At 39.7% G+C, this 16,418-nt stretch overlaps 1 protein-coding gene across 26 annotated transcripts in view; it reads right to left on the bottom strand.

The window, feature by feature from the left end:
• PRIMPOL (primase and DNA directed polymerase) overlaps positions 1-16,418 on the bottom strand; it is a 45,215-nt gene that overhangs the window by 27,890 nt on the left and 907 nt on the right. For 10 of the 26 annotated variants that reach the window (XR_938701.4, NR_144314.2, XM_017007867.3 and 7 more), the window contains exons 2-6: positions 14,963-15,040; positions 9,743-9,981; positions 7,626-7,723; positions 5,160-5,289; positions 999-1,146 (exon numbers count right to left, since the gene is read on the bottom strand). Coding sequence is in view for 17 of the 26 variants with exons in the window: in XM_017007867.3 (XP_016863356.1) it covers positions 999-1,146; positions 5,160-5,289; positions 7,626-7,723; positions 9,743-9,922 (556 nt within the window). In the remaining 9 variants the exon portion in view is untranslated. Of the gene's footprint in view, positions 1-998; positions 1,147-5,159; positions 5,290-7,625; positions 7,724-9,742; positions 9,982-14,962; positions 15,041-16,418 lie in introns of those variants that run through there. The other 16 variants (NR_144312.2, NR_144313.2, XM_011531720.2 and 13 more) reach the window with 7 other exon arrangements.

Here is a 16,418-nt window from a genome sequence, read left to right as displayed (position 1 = left end):
CGTGAAACTCTAAGACGCTAGCAGCTCTGAACTGAATTACCTGTTACCTGAGCTTCAGTCAATCATCTGCTGTTTGGACTCTTGTCCCACCCCTGCTTTGATAAGCACTCAGGATTTGGCTTTTATTCAGACCTTCATATGGTGTTCCCATTCTAACTATGTGTTTCTCCTTTGGACTGACTTTGTTTTACACCTGGGCCCAGGCCTGAGATAAATAATCTGGTTTCACTTTCAGACTCGTACATCTAGAATTATCCCAACCCTGAAGCTCTGCCTGGAACAATAAACAAGCCATCTTTGATACGACCTGGGACCGAAGCCCCAAAGCAAGGCCGAAGCAAAGGTCAGAAATCCAGAAATGAGATTGCAGATAAGGCTTGAAATGGAAAGGCCTCTCATGCACTTTCCAGGAAACTGAAATAAATCATGTTGGAGCAGAAACCACTATCTGGACATGGATGGCCATCCCAGTATCTAGGATTAGAGATGCAAATGCCAAAGATGTCCTGAATAGGTTGATGTGTCTAGAACAGAAAGACAGGTCCAAAGCTAAGGGAACATCTTGAAAACATGAAGAAACACATTGCCATTATTTTTTTTGAGACAGGGTCTCACTCTGTTGCCTAGGCTGGAGTGCAGTGGTGTGATCCTGGCTTACTGCAACCTCTGCCTCCTGGGTTCAAGCAATCCTTGTGCCTCAGCATCCCGAGTAGCTGGGACTACAGGCATGCACCACCATGCCCGGCTAATTAGTAGAGACAGGGTTTTGCCAGCTTGGCCAGGCTGGTCTCAAACTCCTAGCCTCAAGTGAGCCGCCCACCATGGCCTCCCCAAGTGCTAGAATTGCAGGTGTGAGCCACTGCACTCAGCCTACATCGCATTTTTTAGGATAAGTTAATGACCATAAAACTTGATAAGTACACACAAAATTTTAAGAGGAATAAGAACATATGAGTTTTGAATACAACTCCATGATTTTTAAAAAGCCGTGTACTTACCAACATGAATATTATCTTTAAATGCCACATCATGGAGCTGAAATATTAAATGCCGGCTGAATTTTTCATCAGTGCTAGAATCCAAGTTCAAAACATCTTCAGCTGAGCAATTAACACCGTATAACTCTTGAAGTGCTTTACACACATACTAAAAACACAAGTAAAATGCAAATAATTTATATTTTTTGTTTTAAAATTTTTCTATAAGCAATAAGCATCTCTTTATATATCATCTATGAGTTAAAAAGTCATTAATTTCTGATCAGGCGTGGTGGCTCATGCCTGTAATCCCAGCACTTTGGGAGGCCAAGGCGGGCAGATTACTTGAAGTCAGAAGTTTGAGACCAGCCTAGCCAACATGGTAAAACCCAGTCTCTACTAAAACCATAAAAATTAGCCAGGCGTGGTGGCAGGTGTCTATAAGTCCCAGCTACTCAGGAGGCCGAGGCAGGAAGATCACCTGAACCCAGGAGGCGGAGATTGCAGTCAGCCAAGATGGTGCCACTGCACTCCAGTCTGGGTGACAGTGTGAGACTCCATCTCAAAAAAAAAAAAAAAAAAAGTCATTAATTCATTTTTTTTAATGGTTTTAATTACCAGAAAGTGTCTAGTTCATATTGAGCCTGACTCCAGCTCTAAGAATACAGCCTCTGAGACTACAAGGCACTGGGCATGAAGGCCATGCACAATAGAAAGGCAGCAAGCACGGGGGCTGGAGTCAGAGACAGGTCAGTGTCAGTTTTGGCTTTGCCATCTGCCAGCTCTATGGCTTTGGTCAAATCTAAACCTTAACATTTCCCAGCTGCTAAACAGGAATAATAATAGCAGCTACCTTTTGGAGTTGCTTTAAGGAATAAAAAAGAAAATGGAAATTTTTAGCACATGTAACTGCTTAAAAAAGCCTTGGTTGTGCAGCCTTAGGACAAGTCCCTAAAGCTTCAATTTTCTCATTTGCAAAATGAAGCTACTAAGAACTACCATGCAATATTATCTTGACATGAGCAAAAATGTTTATGAACTGCCGTCAGTTTAGATACCTCAAAGTTACGCAATAAACTGTATTTTTAATGATATTTTGGGATTCTTCTAACACCACACTGTCCTCATGCCCTCTGGCTTTACTCTTCTGTAAATTCTTTCTCAGAGAGGGCTTCCTTGATTTCCCTCTCTACATCAAATTCCCCCTACATACTCTTTTTCTCTTTATAGACTTACAATTTTAGGTTGATTTATGTGATTAGTTTGACATGTTTCCTCTGTATTACAGGGGCTCTTCCTCCATATTTGTTCTCTCCCTCTGTAGAAGCAGAATCCCAATTTTTTAGCTAGATTGGAGGCCATCCAGAACAAAGACTACATTTCCCAGGCTCCTCTACAGCAGGGTGTGGCTGCTAAGTCTGGCCAATGGGACGTGAGAAGGAAAGTATGCCACTTCTAAGTGATCCTCTAACAGGCAAAGGGCGTACCGTCCCCTTCTCCATTTGTACTGACTAGAATGCAGACACAGTGGTATGAGCCATCTTGGACAATGGAAGAAGGCAACATCTTAGGGACAGCAAAGCAACAAGCCTAGTCCCTAACAGTACGGAGCCACATTAGATATTACTTGGGGGAGAAATAGGTTTCTGTCTTGTTTAAGCCAGTTTAATTTTGGGTCTTTATTATGGCAGCTAAATCTATCCTAACGTATTATCCTCCATTAGACTACAAAGTGTATGCCATCAGACATTATGTCTCTTTGACTTACCACTTGGTAATCCTAGTGCCTGGGCACAGTGCCTGACACTTAGTAGGGACTAAAAACTATTTGATGAATGAAGTCGACTTCTGTACTTTCGGAGCTACAGAGAATAAATTTAGTGATGCTTTAGGTAGGACAAGTAATCATATTCTCCTAAATTCTATTTCCCAAGATTAACTTTAATTAAAACTTTAAGTTACTTAAATAATTAAATTATAAAATCCAGAAGTTAAACTTACATGAGTGGACAATGTTGCCCTGAAATGTGGTCCTAATAAAATACATTAGCACCAGAATTCATTCTAACTGTGGAGAAGGGGCTTATTGAAATGTGTCAGTTTAGCCACTGAACCACAGGGTATTTTACATTATCACCAATTATTATTAACCATCTGCTAAATTAGCATAAGAGCTAACCTAATTATGCCTCCTCACAGTAAGACTCAAAGGAAAAAGTACTTACTGGATTATAAACTTATTGCATACAAAGTAACCAATAAATGAAATTAATTTCAATGTAATCATTATAAAAAGCATTATATTAAGTAAAGTAATCCAATGAGAACTGTTCTATCAACATGGTAAACATGTTAAATAAAAATGCTGTATAATTTTGAACTTCGATTTCTACAGTTTCTTCCAACAGTTTTGCTGATGCAGAAGATTAGCTGCTCAAGACTCATTTGGATAAAGTAGTATAAAGAATAAGGAGAAAAAAATTCTAAACACCTACATGGTCTTTGCCATACCAGTGTTTATTAATATGTGTTACAAATGAAATTTGCTCCAGTGTTCATTTCATTAGAAATATTTCTAGTTTCTAATGCAATGTGGTACTTCTTTGCTAATATGCAATGTTAAGTGGCAGTGAAAATCTCTGAATCGAGGTTCCTTGTAGCCCATGGAGAAACTACACAAGAAATCTTACTTTAGACTGTAGAAGAAAGTCAATACTTATGAATTACTAAAAACATAATTAGGCCAGGCACAATGGCTCGCGCCTATAATCCCAGCACTTTGGGAGGCGGAGATGGGTGTATCACTTGAGGCCAGGAGTTCAAGAACAGCCTGGCCAACATGGCAAAACCCTATCTCTACTAAAAATACAAAAATTAGCCAGGTATGGTGGCACACACCTGTAATCCCAGCTACTCGGGAGGCTGAGGCAGGAGAACTGCTTGAACCTGGGAGGCAGAGATTGCAGTGAGCTGAGATCACACCACTGCACTCCAGTCTGGGTGACAGAGCTAGACTCTGTCTCAGAAATAATAATAATAATAATAATAATAATAATAATAATAATAAAGGTTTAAAATTAAACAGAATTTACCAGCTGTAATGAAATAAGCATCTAAATTTATTTTTAAGGGTTCAATGGCTATTTGAAGAAAAATATAATTTGGGGTTTTTTTTGGGGGTGGTGGGGGACTTTATATATATTTCTTCTGCTTCAAAGCCAGGATAAAGCTAACATTCTATATATTTTTTAAATAGCATTCACATACATTTTCACAAAGATTTAAAATCAAGCATGTAGAGGTCCAACAGAGAATACTAGCAGATATTCTTTATCAAAAACATTTTAATCTGGATATATTTTAAAAGTTATAAAATGGGTAATCTATAACATTATTATTCAGTTAACATTTAAAAGAAAAATAGCTAGTCAGTAAGTGTCAGTACCTACACTTAGGCTGAATAATAGTCAATACAATTTTAACACAACTTCCTGTGATACAATCTGAAAATTTTTTTTGAAATAATCCTAATAGAACTTAGCTGCACAAGTCCATGCTATTCCTTTTATTAGTAACTTCCTGGTTGACACAGCTAAATCAAAAATAAAGAACTACAGTATTTTTTCTCTTAGTTAAAAATAGTAACTATATTTTTAGACAAGATTTTACCATTACTAGCTGTAGGACCTTGAATAGGAATTAGTTTCGTCTGGGCCTTAATTTCCTCATTTTGAAAGGGACAAGATAAGATGATTTCCAAAATTCCTGCAAGCTTGAAAATTCTAATACTATTTGTAGTCAGTGTTCTTGAGGTTCATCTCAGTACCCAATTTTTACAGTAAAAATTATTTTGCCTGGTTTTACCAAAGTCAGCTATTCGTAATGGAAGTCAGAGAATTAATATATAATTTTAAAATATAGAAAATTTTCAAACTGACATCTTTTTCAAAGCATTTTTTTTACCAGACAGCAAAATTGCAAACTATATGAACACAAATTGAACTTTCCTTCCTTTTCACAGTTTACTCATACAAGTAATATTAAAAAATCCTAAAGTCAAAAGGAAGAGTAGCAAGAAAAAGAAGAGATACAGAACCTACTATTATGTAGGCTGAATTCACTGAATGAATAAGCCAATGAAGAGATGGATAGAAATAAGAAAAACTTGAGTTGGCCATTTACCTCAATGAGTAATGCAACCATCTTTTTCCCATCAGCTCCTGGGTTGGCAGGTTTGTTAAATTCCAAATCAAAATAAAGCTTGCACACAGCATTTTCAGGAATAACTTCATAGCAGTGTAAGAGATTTTTTCTAAATTGAATAATTCAAGATTGTTAAATTGATATATTATACCTTTATTGATTGATTGATTGACTGACTGAGACTGAGTCAGCTCTGTTGCCCAGGCTGGACTGCAGTGGTGTGATCTCGGTTCACTGCAACCTCCTCCTCCTGGGTTCAAGCGATTCTCCTGCCTCAGCCTCCCGAGTAGCTGGGACTACAGGCACACGCCACCACGCCTGGTTAATTTTTGCATTTTTAGTAGACAGGGTTTACGCCATGTTGGCCAGGCTGATCTTGAACTCCTGGCTTCAAGTGATCCACCTGCCTCAGCCTCCCAAAGTGCTGGGATTACAGACATGAGCCACCACGCCCAGCCTCTATCTTATACCTTTTAAATCATGGCAGTCTATCTTACATTGCAAGTACTGTGTTAACTGTGCTTTCACTACATACAAGTATGAAATAAGAACATGATAAAATGAACTGTTCACCATAGGTTTATGGCTCATCTTATCAAGGGTTTCCATCAAGCAAAATGCAACAATTATATCCTGTAACATTATTTAACTAGAAAATACAGTCAATCTTACAGTGTTATTTATTCACAGATGAGTTTGATATTGTGTAATACCTCTATATTTGTTTTTAGTGTCACCATGAAACAAATTTTCTTTGAAAAAAAATGTTCTTTTCAGGATTCCATATTCTTGGGATTCCATGAATTTTCCATGAGAATTTTTAAATTCTGTATTTTCATTGGAAGATAATATTTTAAAAATTGCTTAAAAAATTCTGAATCACCTGACTTTGATAAGCTCCCAACGCTCATGTTTGCAGTTACATTCTTTCTGGCATTAAGAGGAATGACTTTGACATGGGTTAAATAGGGAGAGATGCTGACTTAATTTGCAAATGATAATTTGGGCTAAGTGATATTCAGATGGCATCCTATACAAATTAAGGACTTCTAGTAATTTGAAGAGGGAAAAGTTATGTGAAAATTGTATCATCAGGTGGTACAGGTAGTGGAGGAACTCAACACACACATACACATACATACATACACACCCTGTAGCAGTCAGTTCCATATTTACATGGGAAGATGAGACTGAGTTTCAGCAAAACATCTGTCACATTGTCTTAATGATTTTCATTCAACTCTAACTGGTGTTGCATGTATATCAACATAAATAAATCCAGTTTCATATTTGAAGCTACTTAGCAACATTTGAATAAAAGTATTCTAAATCAATATAGGGCATGCTAACAATTTACTCTCCTTTTCCACACATTACTCAAGTCTGAGAAATACTTGAATACGGCTGGGTGCGGTGGCTCATGCTGGTAATCCCAGCACTTTGGGAGGCCGAGGCAGGCAGATCATCTGAGGTCAGGAGCTCGAGAGCAGCCTGACCAATATAATGAAATCCCGTCTCTACTAAAAATACAAAAATTAGCCAGGCGTGGTGGCAGGCACCTGTAATCCCAGCTACTTGGGAGACTGAGACAGGAGAATTGCTTGAACTCAGGGAGGTTGCAGTGAGCTGAGATTGTGCCACTGTACTCCAGCCTGGGCAACAAGAGTGAAACTGTCTCAAAAAAAATTTTTTAAATTAAAAAAAAGAAAGAAAAAAAAAAAGAAATACTTGAATAGATCACTCAGTCAAAATAAAGCTAATAAGCCAGGTACAGTGGCTCACACCTGTAATCCCAACACTTTGGGAGGCCGAGGTGGGTGGATTACCTGAGGTCAGGAGTTCAAGATCAGCCTGGTCAACATGGTGAAACCCCGTCTCTACTAAAAACATAAAAATGAGCCAGGCATGGTGGTGGGCACCTGTAATCCCAGCAACTCGGGAGCCTGAGGCAGAACAACGACTTGCACTCGGGAGGCAGAGGCTGCAGTGAGCCGAGACCATGGCACTGCAGACCAGTCTGGGCAACAAGAGTAAAACTCCATCTCAAAAAAATTAAAAAATTAAAACTAAAGCTAATAACAAATAATTTAAAATAGTAATAATAAAGTCAAGATAAAGCAGATATTTCATTACTAGGTAAGTAACATAAATATTCCTTTGTGATTAATAGTATAATTTAATACCTGTTTGCAAAAGAGAAATTTCAAAACTCCCTTTGAGTACACGCATATATTCGTGTATGTGCATGATTATTTTCTCCCAGCACCTGGTGAGATACTCAAGCATTGCTATGACAAGAAAACTCCAGAATTCAATTCTAAGAGCAACTAATAGTGTGGTCACGAACTGTGGAAGCCAATTCAGCCTGAACTAATTTCACCAAAATTCCTAGGCAAAGGAAATGGAACTCTAGCTTAATGTGTGGTTCTGCTGCATGCTACCTACCTGGATTTATAGTAAAACCAAAATTCAGCATAGGTTGTCACAAGGTAAATACGTTGTCCATCTCCTACTTTGCATTCCAAAGCAAATACATGAACGTCCTGCATAAAATCAAAAAAGAATTCAGAAAAATTCACAAAATGCAAACCTAAACTCAACTGTAGCTACTGAATGTTCATAAAGAATTTTTCATTCAAGTTTTCAGAAACTGTAATTTGAACATTTGTATTATTAAAAACAAGACAAATAGTCACTAGGTTTATGCCATTCAAAATCTAATTATACCTATTTTTTAATCATTCATACAAAAGGTGAAAACAATTAGAATATGCAGACCAAAGAGAAAAAAGGAGAGAAACCACTCTTAAAAATATTACTTGTATGACTTCCTATGATAGTTTTATTTCTTAGTTTATGAAATTAAACTTATTTTTCAAAACTACTTATTATTATAAATGATTTGGGCTAAAATTGATTAGTAAATTCCCCAGTACATAAAAAAATGTATGTAGGAGCCTTTTTTTTTTTTTTTTGAAACAGAGTCTTGCTCTGTTGCCCAGGCCGGAGTGCAGTGGCGTGATCTCGACTCACTGCAACCTCTGTCTCCCAGGTTTAAGCGATTCTCCTGCCTCAGCCTCCCAAGTAGCTGGGATTACAGGTGCCCACCACCACGCCCGATTAATTTTTTGTATTTTTAGTAGAGACGAGGTTTCACCATGCTGGGCAGGCTGGTCTCGAACTCCTGACCTCAAAGTGATCTGCCTGCCTCAGCCTCCTAAAGTGCTGGGATTACAGGCATGAGCCACCGCACCCAGCCGGAACCATTTTTTTAAAGGTTAATTACTGCGGTAGTTGTTTAAATATAACTGCTCATGCCTCCTGCCATAAGGGTTCTTCTAATAGAGGAATACATCCACAAGTTCTTTTGTTTCCTCTTAGCTAAAGGTAGCTGGTGAGCATATTTTTCTTTTCATGAGTGAAAAATCACAGGACTCAGTTGCTTAACCCTAACAAAAACCTTTTTGAAATAAATTTTATAGACTGGTGATTAGCAAGTCCAACAAGCATACCCCTATCTATATCTTTTTAAAATTCAAGTTCAAATGAATCTGTCAGTATTTTAATTTCTGCTGCTTGAATTAGGTTTACCCAAAATGCCTAAGAAAGGTATTTCTTAAACCATTCTCATGAGATTTGAGTAAGCCTACCCTTACTAGAGAAAGAGAGGTCCTTCTAAAACTTCCAGCACTTGGAGATTTTATACAGCAACAGTGATCAGACTCACAGCACACTTATGCTATCATATAAGCATCTTATCGTTTCTTTCATATTTCTTTACATTCCCCACAGTGCCCCAAAAAAAAAAAAGAATGTGCAATACACATCTGTTGCTTGATTTAGTGATATTTATTTATTTATTTATTTATTTATTTATTTATTTATTTTTGAGATGGAGTTTCGCTCTTGTTGCCCAGGCTGGAGTGCAATGGCGCGATCTCGGCTCACAGCAAACTCCGCCTTCCGGGTTCAAGCCATTCTCCTGCCTCAGCCTTGGGAGTAGCTGGGATTACAGGCATACGCCACCACACCCGGCTAATTTTGTATTTATAGTAGAGACAGGGTTTCTCCATGTTGGTGAGGCTGGTCTCAAACTCCGGACCTCAGGTGATCCACCCGTCTCGGCCTCCCAAAGTGCTGGGATTACAGGCATGAGCCACCTCGCCCGGCCAGTGATTTTTATTTTTCAGCACCATGTTCTTTGAAAGGCTGACACTTCTTTCTCCTACTTGCTTACTGTGTTGAAATAAATATGGTTCCCCTCCCTCTAAGCATAAAGCTTCATTTAAATATCATCACAATTTTTAAAAACTAATTGGTACTAGATGTGTCATTCTTTTTCATTACTAATATAAATTAAATGGTTAATGATTCACAGGAATATTTTTCCTAAATCACATGCCATTAAGATTGCCATTAAATTTTCTTGGTAGAATACATGGCCTGAAATGAAGACAAATAATAGACTTTTTTTTTTAAAGAACTGAAATTATAATGAAGAAGAAGAAGAAAGAAGAGGAAGTGGAAGAGGAGGAAGAAGAAGAGGAGGAGGAGGAAATTACTTCTTTACAGCTTTTAACAAAATTAAAAGCTTGAGCTTGTCGATGAAATAGTCTCCAGATGGAGGGTGGTTCTTCTGGCTTGGACAATCTTGGTCTATACACTGAGGACAACGGTTTCCTCTCATAATGAGATGCTCGTTCTTCAATTTGCTTCAGTTTTGCTTCCCATTTTCTATTCATTGGTTCAGAAGTGTGGAGAGAATAAATCCTATCCCACGTAATATTTCTATCAATTACTACTAAAACAAACAACAAACAAAAAGGCCATTAATTTCTTTGTTTAGAATATATTTTGTTTGATAAAGTTTCAAAACTCACTTCCTGACACTTATTTTCTTGTTTATTCTTTGCATGAAGTTTTACCACAGAATGAGAGCAAGGCTGGTTATCAGAAATTCTTAGATCCTGGTTCTTCATCTAATGGTATTATGACCTTGGACAGGTTAATGAAGCGCCCTGAATCTTAGTTTAATCAACTGAAAAATGGGAATCAATATCATCTTGAGTACTTTATATACTTAGCTTGAAGATAAATGTGGTAAGACATAAGCAATCTCTAAATTACAAAGCCTCATGTAAATATATGTGCTTTTTGTATCACTGTGGTTTTTACTATAACCATTTTATTGTATCACGTGCTATGACCTTGTCCACCCATTCTTGTGCTATTATTTCTCAGTGTAGAATTCATTTCTAGATACCAATGTACAGCTCTTAGTTCCCTTTTCCTCTGTTTCTGTCCATGTCTCCTCTTCTCTCTCAACACAACTTTTAGTTGGGCTAGTTTTGGATGTCTGTAGTAATGGATGATTTTTCTTTCTATATAATACTTCCATGTCAACCACGCCAGAGTAAGGGGGCCAGGCAATAATTTTCCAATTTGGGATTATAATTCATTTACAAAAGAAAAAGAATAGGTTTTTAGAAGAGTGGGAAAACTTTCACTCTAGATTAAAAACAGCCAAATCAGCCACAAACCCCTTGCCATTTTTCCCATCAAGAGATGGCACCTAAACTCACTCTCGTACTGACTCTCAGCTTGGCCATATGACTTGTTTTGGGCCAACATCACATTGACAAAAGTGAAGCAAGCAGAGGTTTAACGAGTGCCTTTGCAGCAGACTTGGTTATCCCAGAGTCCTGCCCTGAGATTGCCATGCCATAACTCTAGCCTCATAGAGGATGAAAGCCCACATGGAAAAGAACCAAGGAATTGCAGCCAACAGCCAGCATAAGCAGTCTGATATGTGAGCTGGGCCATTCCGGACATCCAGCCGTCATCTGAATTCAACGCATTAGTAAGCCTGAGTCCCAGAGAGACCTATCAAACTGCCCAGCCAACCCACAGAGCTATAAGAAAAAAATAAATTTGGTTGTTTTGTCTTTTTTAAGCCAGTAAGTTTGGGGCTGGCTTTGACATAGAAATAGGTAATTAATAGAGTTCCTCTCTTCATTAATATCATCTCTGCCATAATTTACCTATGTGGAAAACAGATATATTGGGGCTTTTTTGAAGTGAAATAATATGTACTAAATCATTTAACAGTGAAGTCCTATTTCTTTGGTAACACATTTGTGCTTATTGAGTTGATAAACATTGTCTTGAATTTTAGCAGAAAACTTTGCAGCAACACAAACTCATTGGCAAATGAGTATTTCCTGGAAGGAAAACCAGAATCTCCCTAAAAGATTAAGAAAGGGGGCCAGGCGCGGTGGCTCCTGCCTGTATTCCCAGCACTTTGGGACGCTGAGGCGGGTGGATCATGAGGTCATGAGTTCGAGACCAGCCTGACCAAGATGGTGAAACCCCGTCTCTACTAAAAATACAAAAATTAGCTGGGCATGGTGGTGGGCACCTATAATCCCAACTACTCGGGAGGCTGAGGCAAGAGAATAGTTTGAACCAGGAGTGGAGGTGCCAGTGAGCCGAGATCGCACCACTGCACTCCAGCCTGGGTGACAGGGCAAGACTCCATCTCAAAAAAAAAAAAAAAAAGATTACGAGAGGGTAGACCAGGCGCCGTGGTTCATGCCTGTAATCCCAGCACTTTGGGAGGCAGAGGAGGGCGGATTACCTGAGGTCAGGAGTTCGAGACCAGCCTGACCAATATGGTGAAACCCCGTCTCTACTAAAAATACAAAAATTAGCCAGGCGTGGTGGCGGGCACCTGTAATCCCAAATACTTGGGAGGCTGAGACAGGAAAATTGCTTGAACCCAGGAGGCAGAGATTGCAGTGAGCTGAAATTATGACACTGCACTCTAGCCTCCTGAGTAGCTGGGACTACTCCATCTCAAAAGAAAAGAAAAAAAAAAGGGATAGTACATCATGACCTTGTTAGAAAAAAAACAAAGGCATATTATCCGCAGATTTCAAATTTGACATCAATCGTAACAGACCTAAGAAAGATATTCTCTCAGAGTTATACCTAATCCACATATAAAGTATATACTAGGAAACAGAAATATAATTCTAAAGGTACTAACATAAATTTCATAACAGGTATGCTTAGGGAAAATATCAATTCACTGGATGGAGGAGATGAAGCAATTTTTTTAAAAACTGCTTCAGCCGGGCGCGGTGGCTCACGCTTGTAATCCCAGCACTTTCGGAGGCCAAGGCAGGCGGATCACAAGGTCAGGAGATCGAGACCATCCTGGCTAACACAGTGAAACCCTGTCTCTACTAAAAATACAAAACAAATTAGCTGGGCGTGGTGGTGGGTGCCTGTAGTCCCAGCTACTCAGGAGGCTGAGGCAGGAGAATGGCGTGAACCCGGGAGGCAGAGCTTGCAGTGAGCCAAGATCGTGCCACTGCACTCTAGCCTGGGCAACGGAGCGAGACTCTGTCTCAAAAAAAAAAAAAAACTGCTTTAACTTGTCAATACAAAGTGATATGGCTCCTTATTGCTAGATTCTGAGTATTCAGTTACTTTGATCTGCTTCACGTGCAGCTAAAAATCTGCTATACTTAGATAAACCTAATTGAGAAACTGACTTTCTATCATGAAGTTTATTAACTTTTAACAAAGTCCATTGATTATTAGTGAAGAAAATAAATACAGAATGCAATCACATCTGAATCTAGCTAGTATCTACCAATAACTGACTACAAATGACTATGTGGATATTCGTACTTCGTGACACTGAAATTTTATCATGAAAAATTGTTTGATTTTGTAAAAGTCTTGGTAGGACCACGGGAGTATGTCATACAGGAACATCATGGAGTCACAATGAAAAAACAGCTTAAGACTCACTGAACTGGGGAAACCATGAGCATCAACAGAAGAAGAAAGAGAAGTTCAGTATATGTCATGCCCCCTTCATATCTGCACAGCTTGAAAATTTTAACAGCTGGGTTGAGCATCAGAAGACAACTGGGGCTTGGTGTAGTCCAGCAGGAGGGTTGAATTACAAAAAGCAAAGGAAATGGAGAACAGTAAGGCATCTGGCATTCTGGTTTGGGACTATCACATTCCTCATCCCTCCCCTCTGGGGGAATATGTCACCATATTAGAAATGCTTTTCATTCCCGGTGGTGAAAGAGTGTTGTCTTTCTTTTACATAATTGTGTATCAAAGCTCCTTTCCACTCAGGGACTGTAACTATTTTTGGTAAGTTTCCAAGTTCCGAAGGAAAACTTTTATTGTATTTTAAAAGATTGGGCTCCGCCCGGTGCAGTGGCTTGCACCTGTAATCCCAGCACTTTGGGAGGCCCAGGCGGGTGGACCACAAGGTCAGGAGTTCGAGACCAGCCTGGCCAACATGGTGAAACCCCATCTCTACTAAAAAACAAAATAAAAGATTGGGCTCAAAGAGTTTCTATTATTTAATTCTTAACATTGCACAGAATGTTTGTTTAACCATGTTTGATTATTTAAGCATGGTTGATACTGATCTTTCAACCAAAGGGGGTCAAGCTAGAAAAAAGGCTATGTTAGTTCTTTTCGAGTAACTATAGTGGGAGAAGAGGCAGCAGGGATGGAAGGGGAGAGATGACGCAGACCTAAGTAGCCCCAGCTTCCCTGCGTTTATGCCCAGCCTTGCCCAGCTGTGACACTTGATGGTCTGGATTCCAGGAGCAGCTGAAGGAGGGGGCACATGCTTCCTATTTACCAGTTTCTGGGGGGACCTGAAGCCAGCCTGGCCATGGTTCTTCCTAGCCTAGTTCTCTCAGTTTCTTTCTTTCTCACCTACCTACCTTCCTTCCTTCCTTCTTCTTTCCCTCCTTCCTTCCCTTCTTTCCTTCCTTCCTTCCCTTCTTCCTTCCTTCCTTCCTCCCTCCCTCTTCTTTCCCTTCTTTCCTTCCTTCCTTCCCTTCTTCCTTCCTTCCTTCCTCCCTCCCTCTTCTTTCCCTTCTTTCCTTCCTTCCTTCCCTTCTTCCTTCCTTCCTTTCTCCCTTCCCTCCTTCCTCCCTCCCTCCCTTCTTTCCCTTCTTTCCTTCCTTCCTCCCTCCTTTTCTTTTTTCTTTTTTTCTCATCACTGGTCAATTCCTATTCCCCAACTCCAAATTCTCCCTCTACCCTGAGATTAGATTCATCAGTATTTTGCATTTTCTGCCAATACTCTAGTTCTATGATTTGGTAATATCCTGGTATTTGACAATATTTTCTTAATATAATCCCTTTTCTAGCCTCTTGGAATGCATTCGTACTATTTCTCCCACTGCTAAAGTATTTATTATAAAGTATGTGATCAAAAAGCATTTACAAAAATATTATTATATAAGTTCACTTTCTGGATGAATAACACCTTAAGAAATTAAGTATAAGTGACTGGATTTTCCTTTTTTCTCCCACTTCAGTCACTTTGCCTTTCTATGCTTGAGCAGAAGTAACTCATATTTAAATTTCCCCAAATCCTCTTTAAGGAGTAAGAAAACACACAGCGATATATTGTGCTTTTTTTTTTTCCAGTTCCTCCTTTCTATCCTCCCCACAGGATCTCCCATCCAAACAGCATAACTCTGCCAGCCCAATCACCCTTAAAACCATTTTCATCACTTTTCACAGGGATAATGATTCATAGCAACATTCAACTCACACAGGTAAACTAACGTCACGAAGTCTAAACTCCCCTCCAGAATCTGGCCCTAAATCATTTACCTATTTCATTTCTTACTCTTCCACCATCTCACCAAATGAATTGATAATGACCTCTGCTTTCTCCTGAGCCACTCCAGAAACCTCCCCCCGCACCCAGCACACATTTCTCTTACCTGGAATGCCCCACGTTGCTTTTCCCGAATTCTTCCCCTTCCAGGCCCAGATCAAGTTCTGTCACCTCTGGGATACCTCTGTAAAGAGAAATTACTGGCTTCAGCCAGAAGACACTGCCTCCAGCCTACTGTTTGGCTATAATTAAAATGTTTGGCTGGGCACGGTGGCTCACGCCTGTAATCCCAGCACTTGGGAGGCCGAGGTGGGTGGATCACCTGAAGTCAGGAGTTCGAGACCAGCCTGGCCAACATGGTGAAACCCCATCTCTACTAAAAATACAAAAATTAGCTGGGCCTAGTGGTAGGCACCTGTAATCCCAGCCACTTGGGAGGCTGAGGCAGGAGAATCATGTGAACCCGGGAGGCGGAGGTTGCAGTGAGCCGAGATTGCACCACTGCACTCCAGCCTGGGCAACAAGGGTGAAACTCCGTCTCAAAAAAAAAAGTTCACAGACTAAGTAAATTAGTATGATTTACAGGAAACCAGAAAACTGCTGCTAATGCTTGCTAATTTGGCAAGAAAGTTTAGCACAGGAAGGGGTTTGGGCATCACAATAGGATAAGGACTAGTTCAACCACACTAGTCCCCTCTTTGCAAATTACTGCTCTGCAGAGCCACTGTTAAGGTTGGGAGTGGGTCCTATTTCTCAGTTTTATTGAGGCAGAAAAAGGACTGTCAAACATTGGTGTTCACTCAATTCAGGAGGGATAAAGAAAGGCCTAAGTCTTATTTGTGGGATCTGAGTTTAACTCCTGTGACTGTCTTTTTAGCAACAGCAAACTACTTAACCCCTTTTTTTTCTTTTTTTTGAGACAGAGTCTTGCTCTGTTGCCCAGGCTAGAGTGCAGTGGCGCAATCTCAGCTCACTGCAACCTCTGCCTCCCGGGTTCAAGCGATTCTCCTGCCTCAGCCTCTCAAGTAGCTGGGATTACAGGTGCCCACCACTGCACCCGGCTAATTTTTTTTGTATTTTTAGTAAAGACAGGGTTTCACCATCTTGACCAGGCTGGTCTCGAACTCCTGACCTCGTGATCCACCTGCCTCGGCCTCCCAAAGTCCTGGGATTACAGGCATGAGCCACCGCGCCGGGACTTAACCTCTTTAAACTCGGCCTTAACCTCTTTAAACCTTATCCTCTTTAAATTGGAATTCCTATCCCGAGGGATTGTTGAAAGGCTGAAACAAACAAATGTATTATGAAAATGTAAAAGCATGCAATAAACTCAGCAAGGGGTAACCATATATAAAACTAAGTATATTTCTGTGCAGAATATAGTCCCTATAGTCGAATAGGCGCAAGTGTTAGAAACAGGCTCTGCCATGGGGTCCCTGAATCTGACTTCTGAATGTCAAGAACTTTTTGAAATCTGATGCAGAATGTCGTGCTCACATGTGTTGGTGAATTCTTCTGCGAAAATGATTCACAGTTTGCTTCAGGGTCTGAAATGAGTTCAC

This window comes from Homo sapiens, chromosome 4, assembly GCF_000001405.40.
Source record: "Homo sapiens chromosome 4, GRCh38.p14 Primary Assembly".
NCBI lineage: Eukaryota > Metazoa > Chordata > Mammalia > Primates > Hominidae > Homo > Homo sapiens.
The sequence above is the reverse complement of the archived record's forward strand: the minus strand, read 5'-3'. Positions and strand labels throughout refer to the sequence as shown.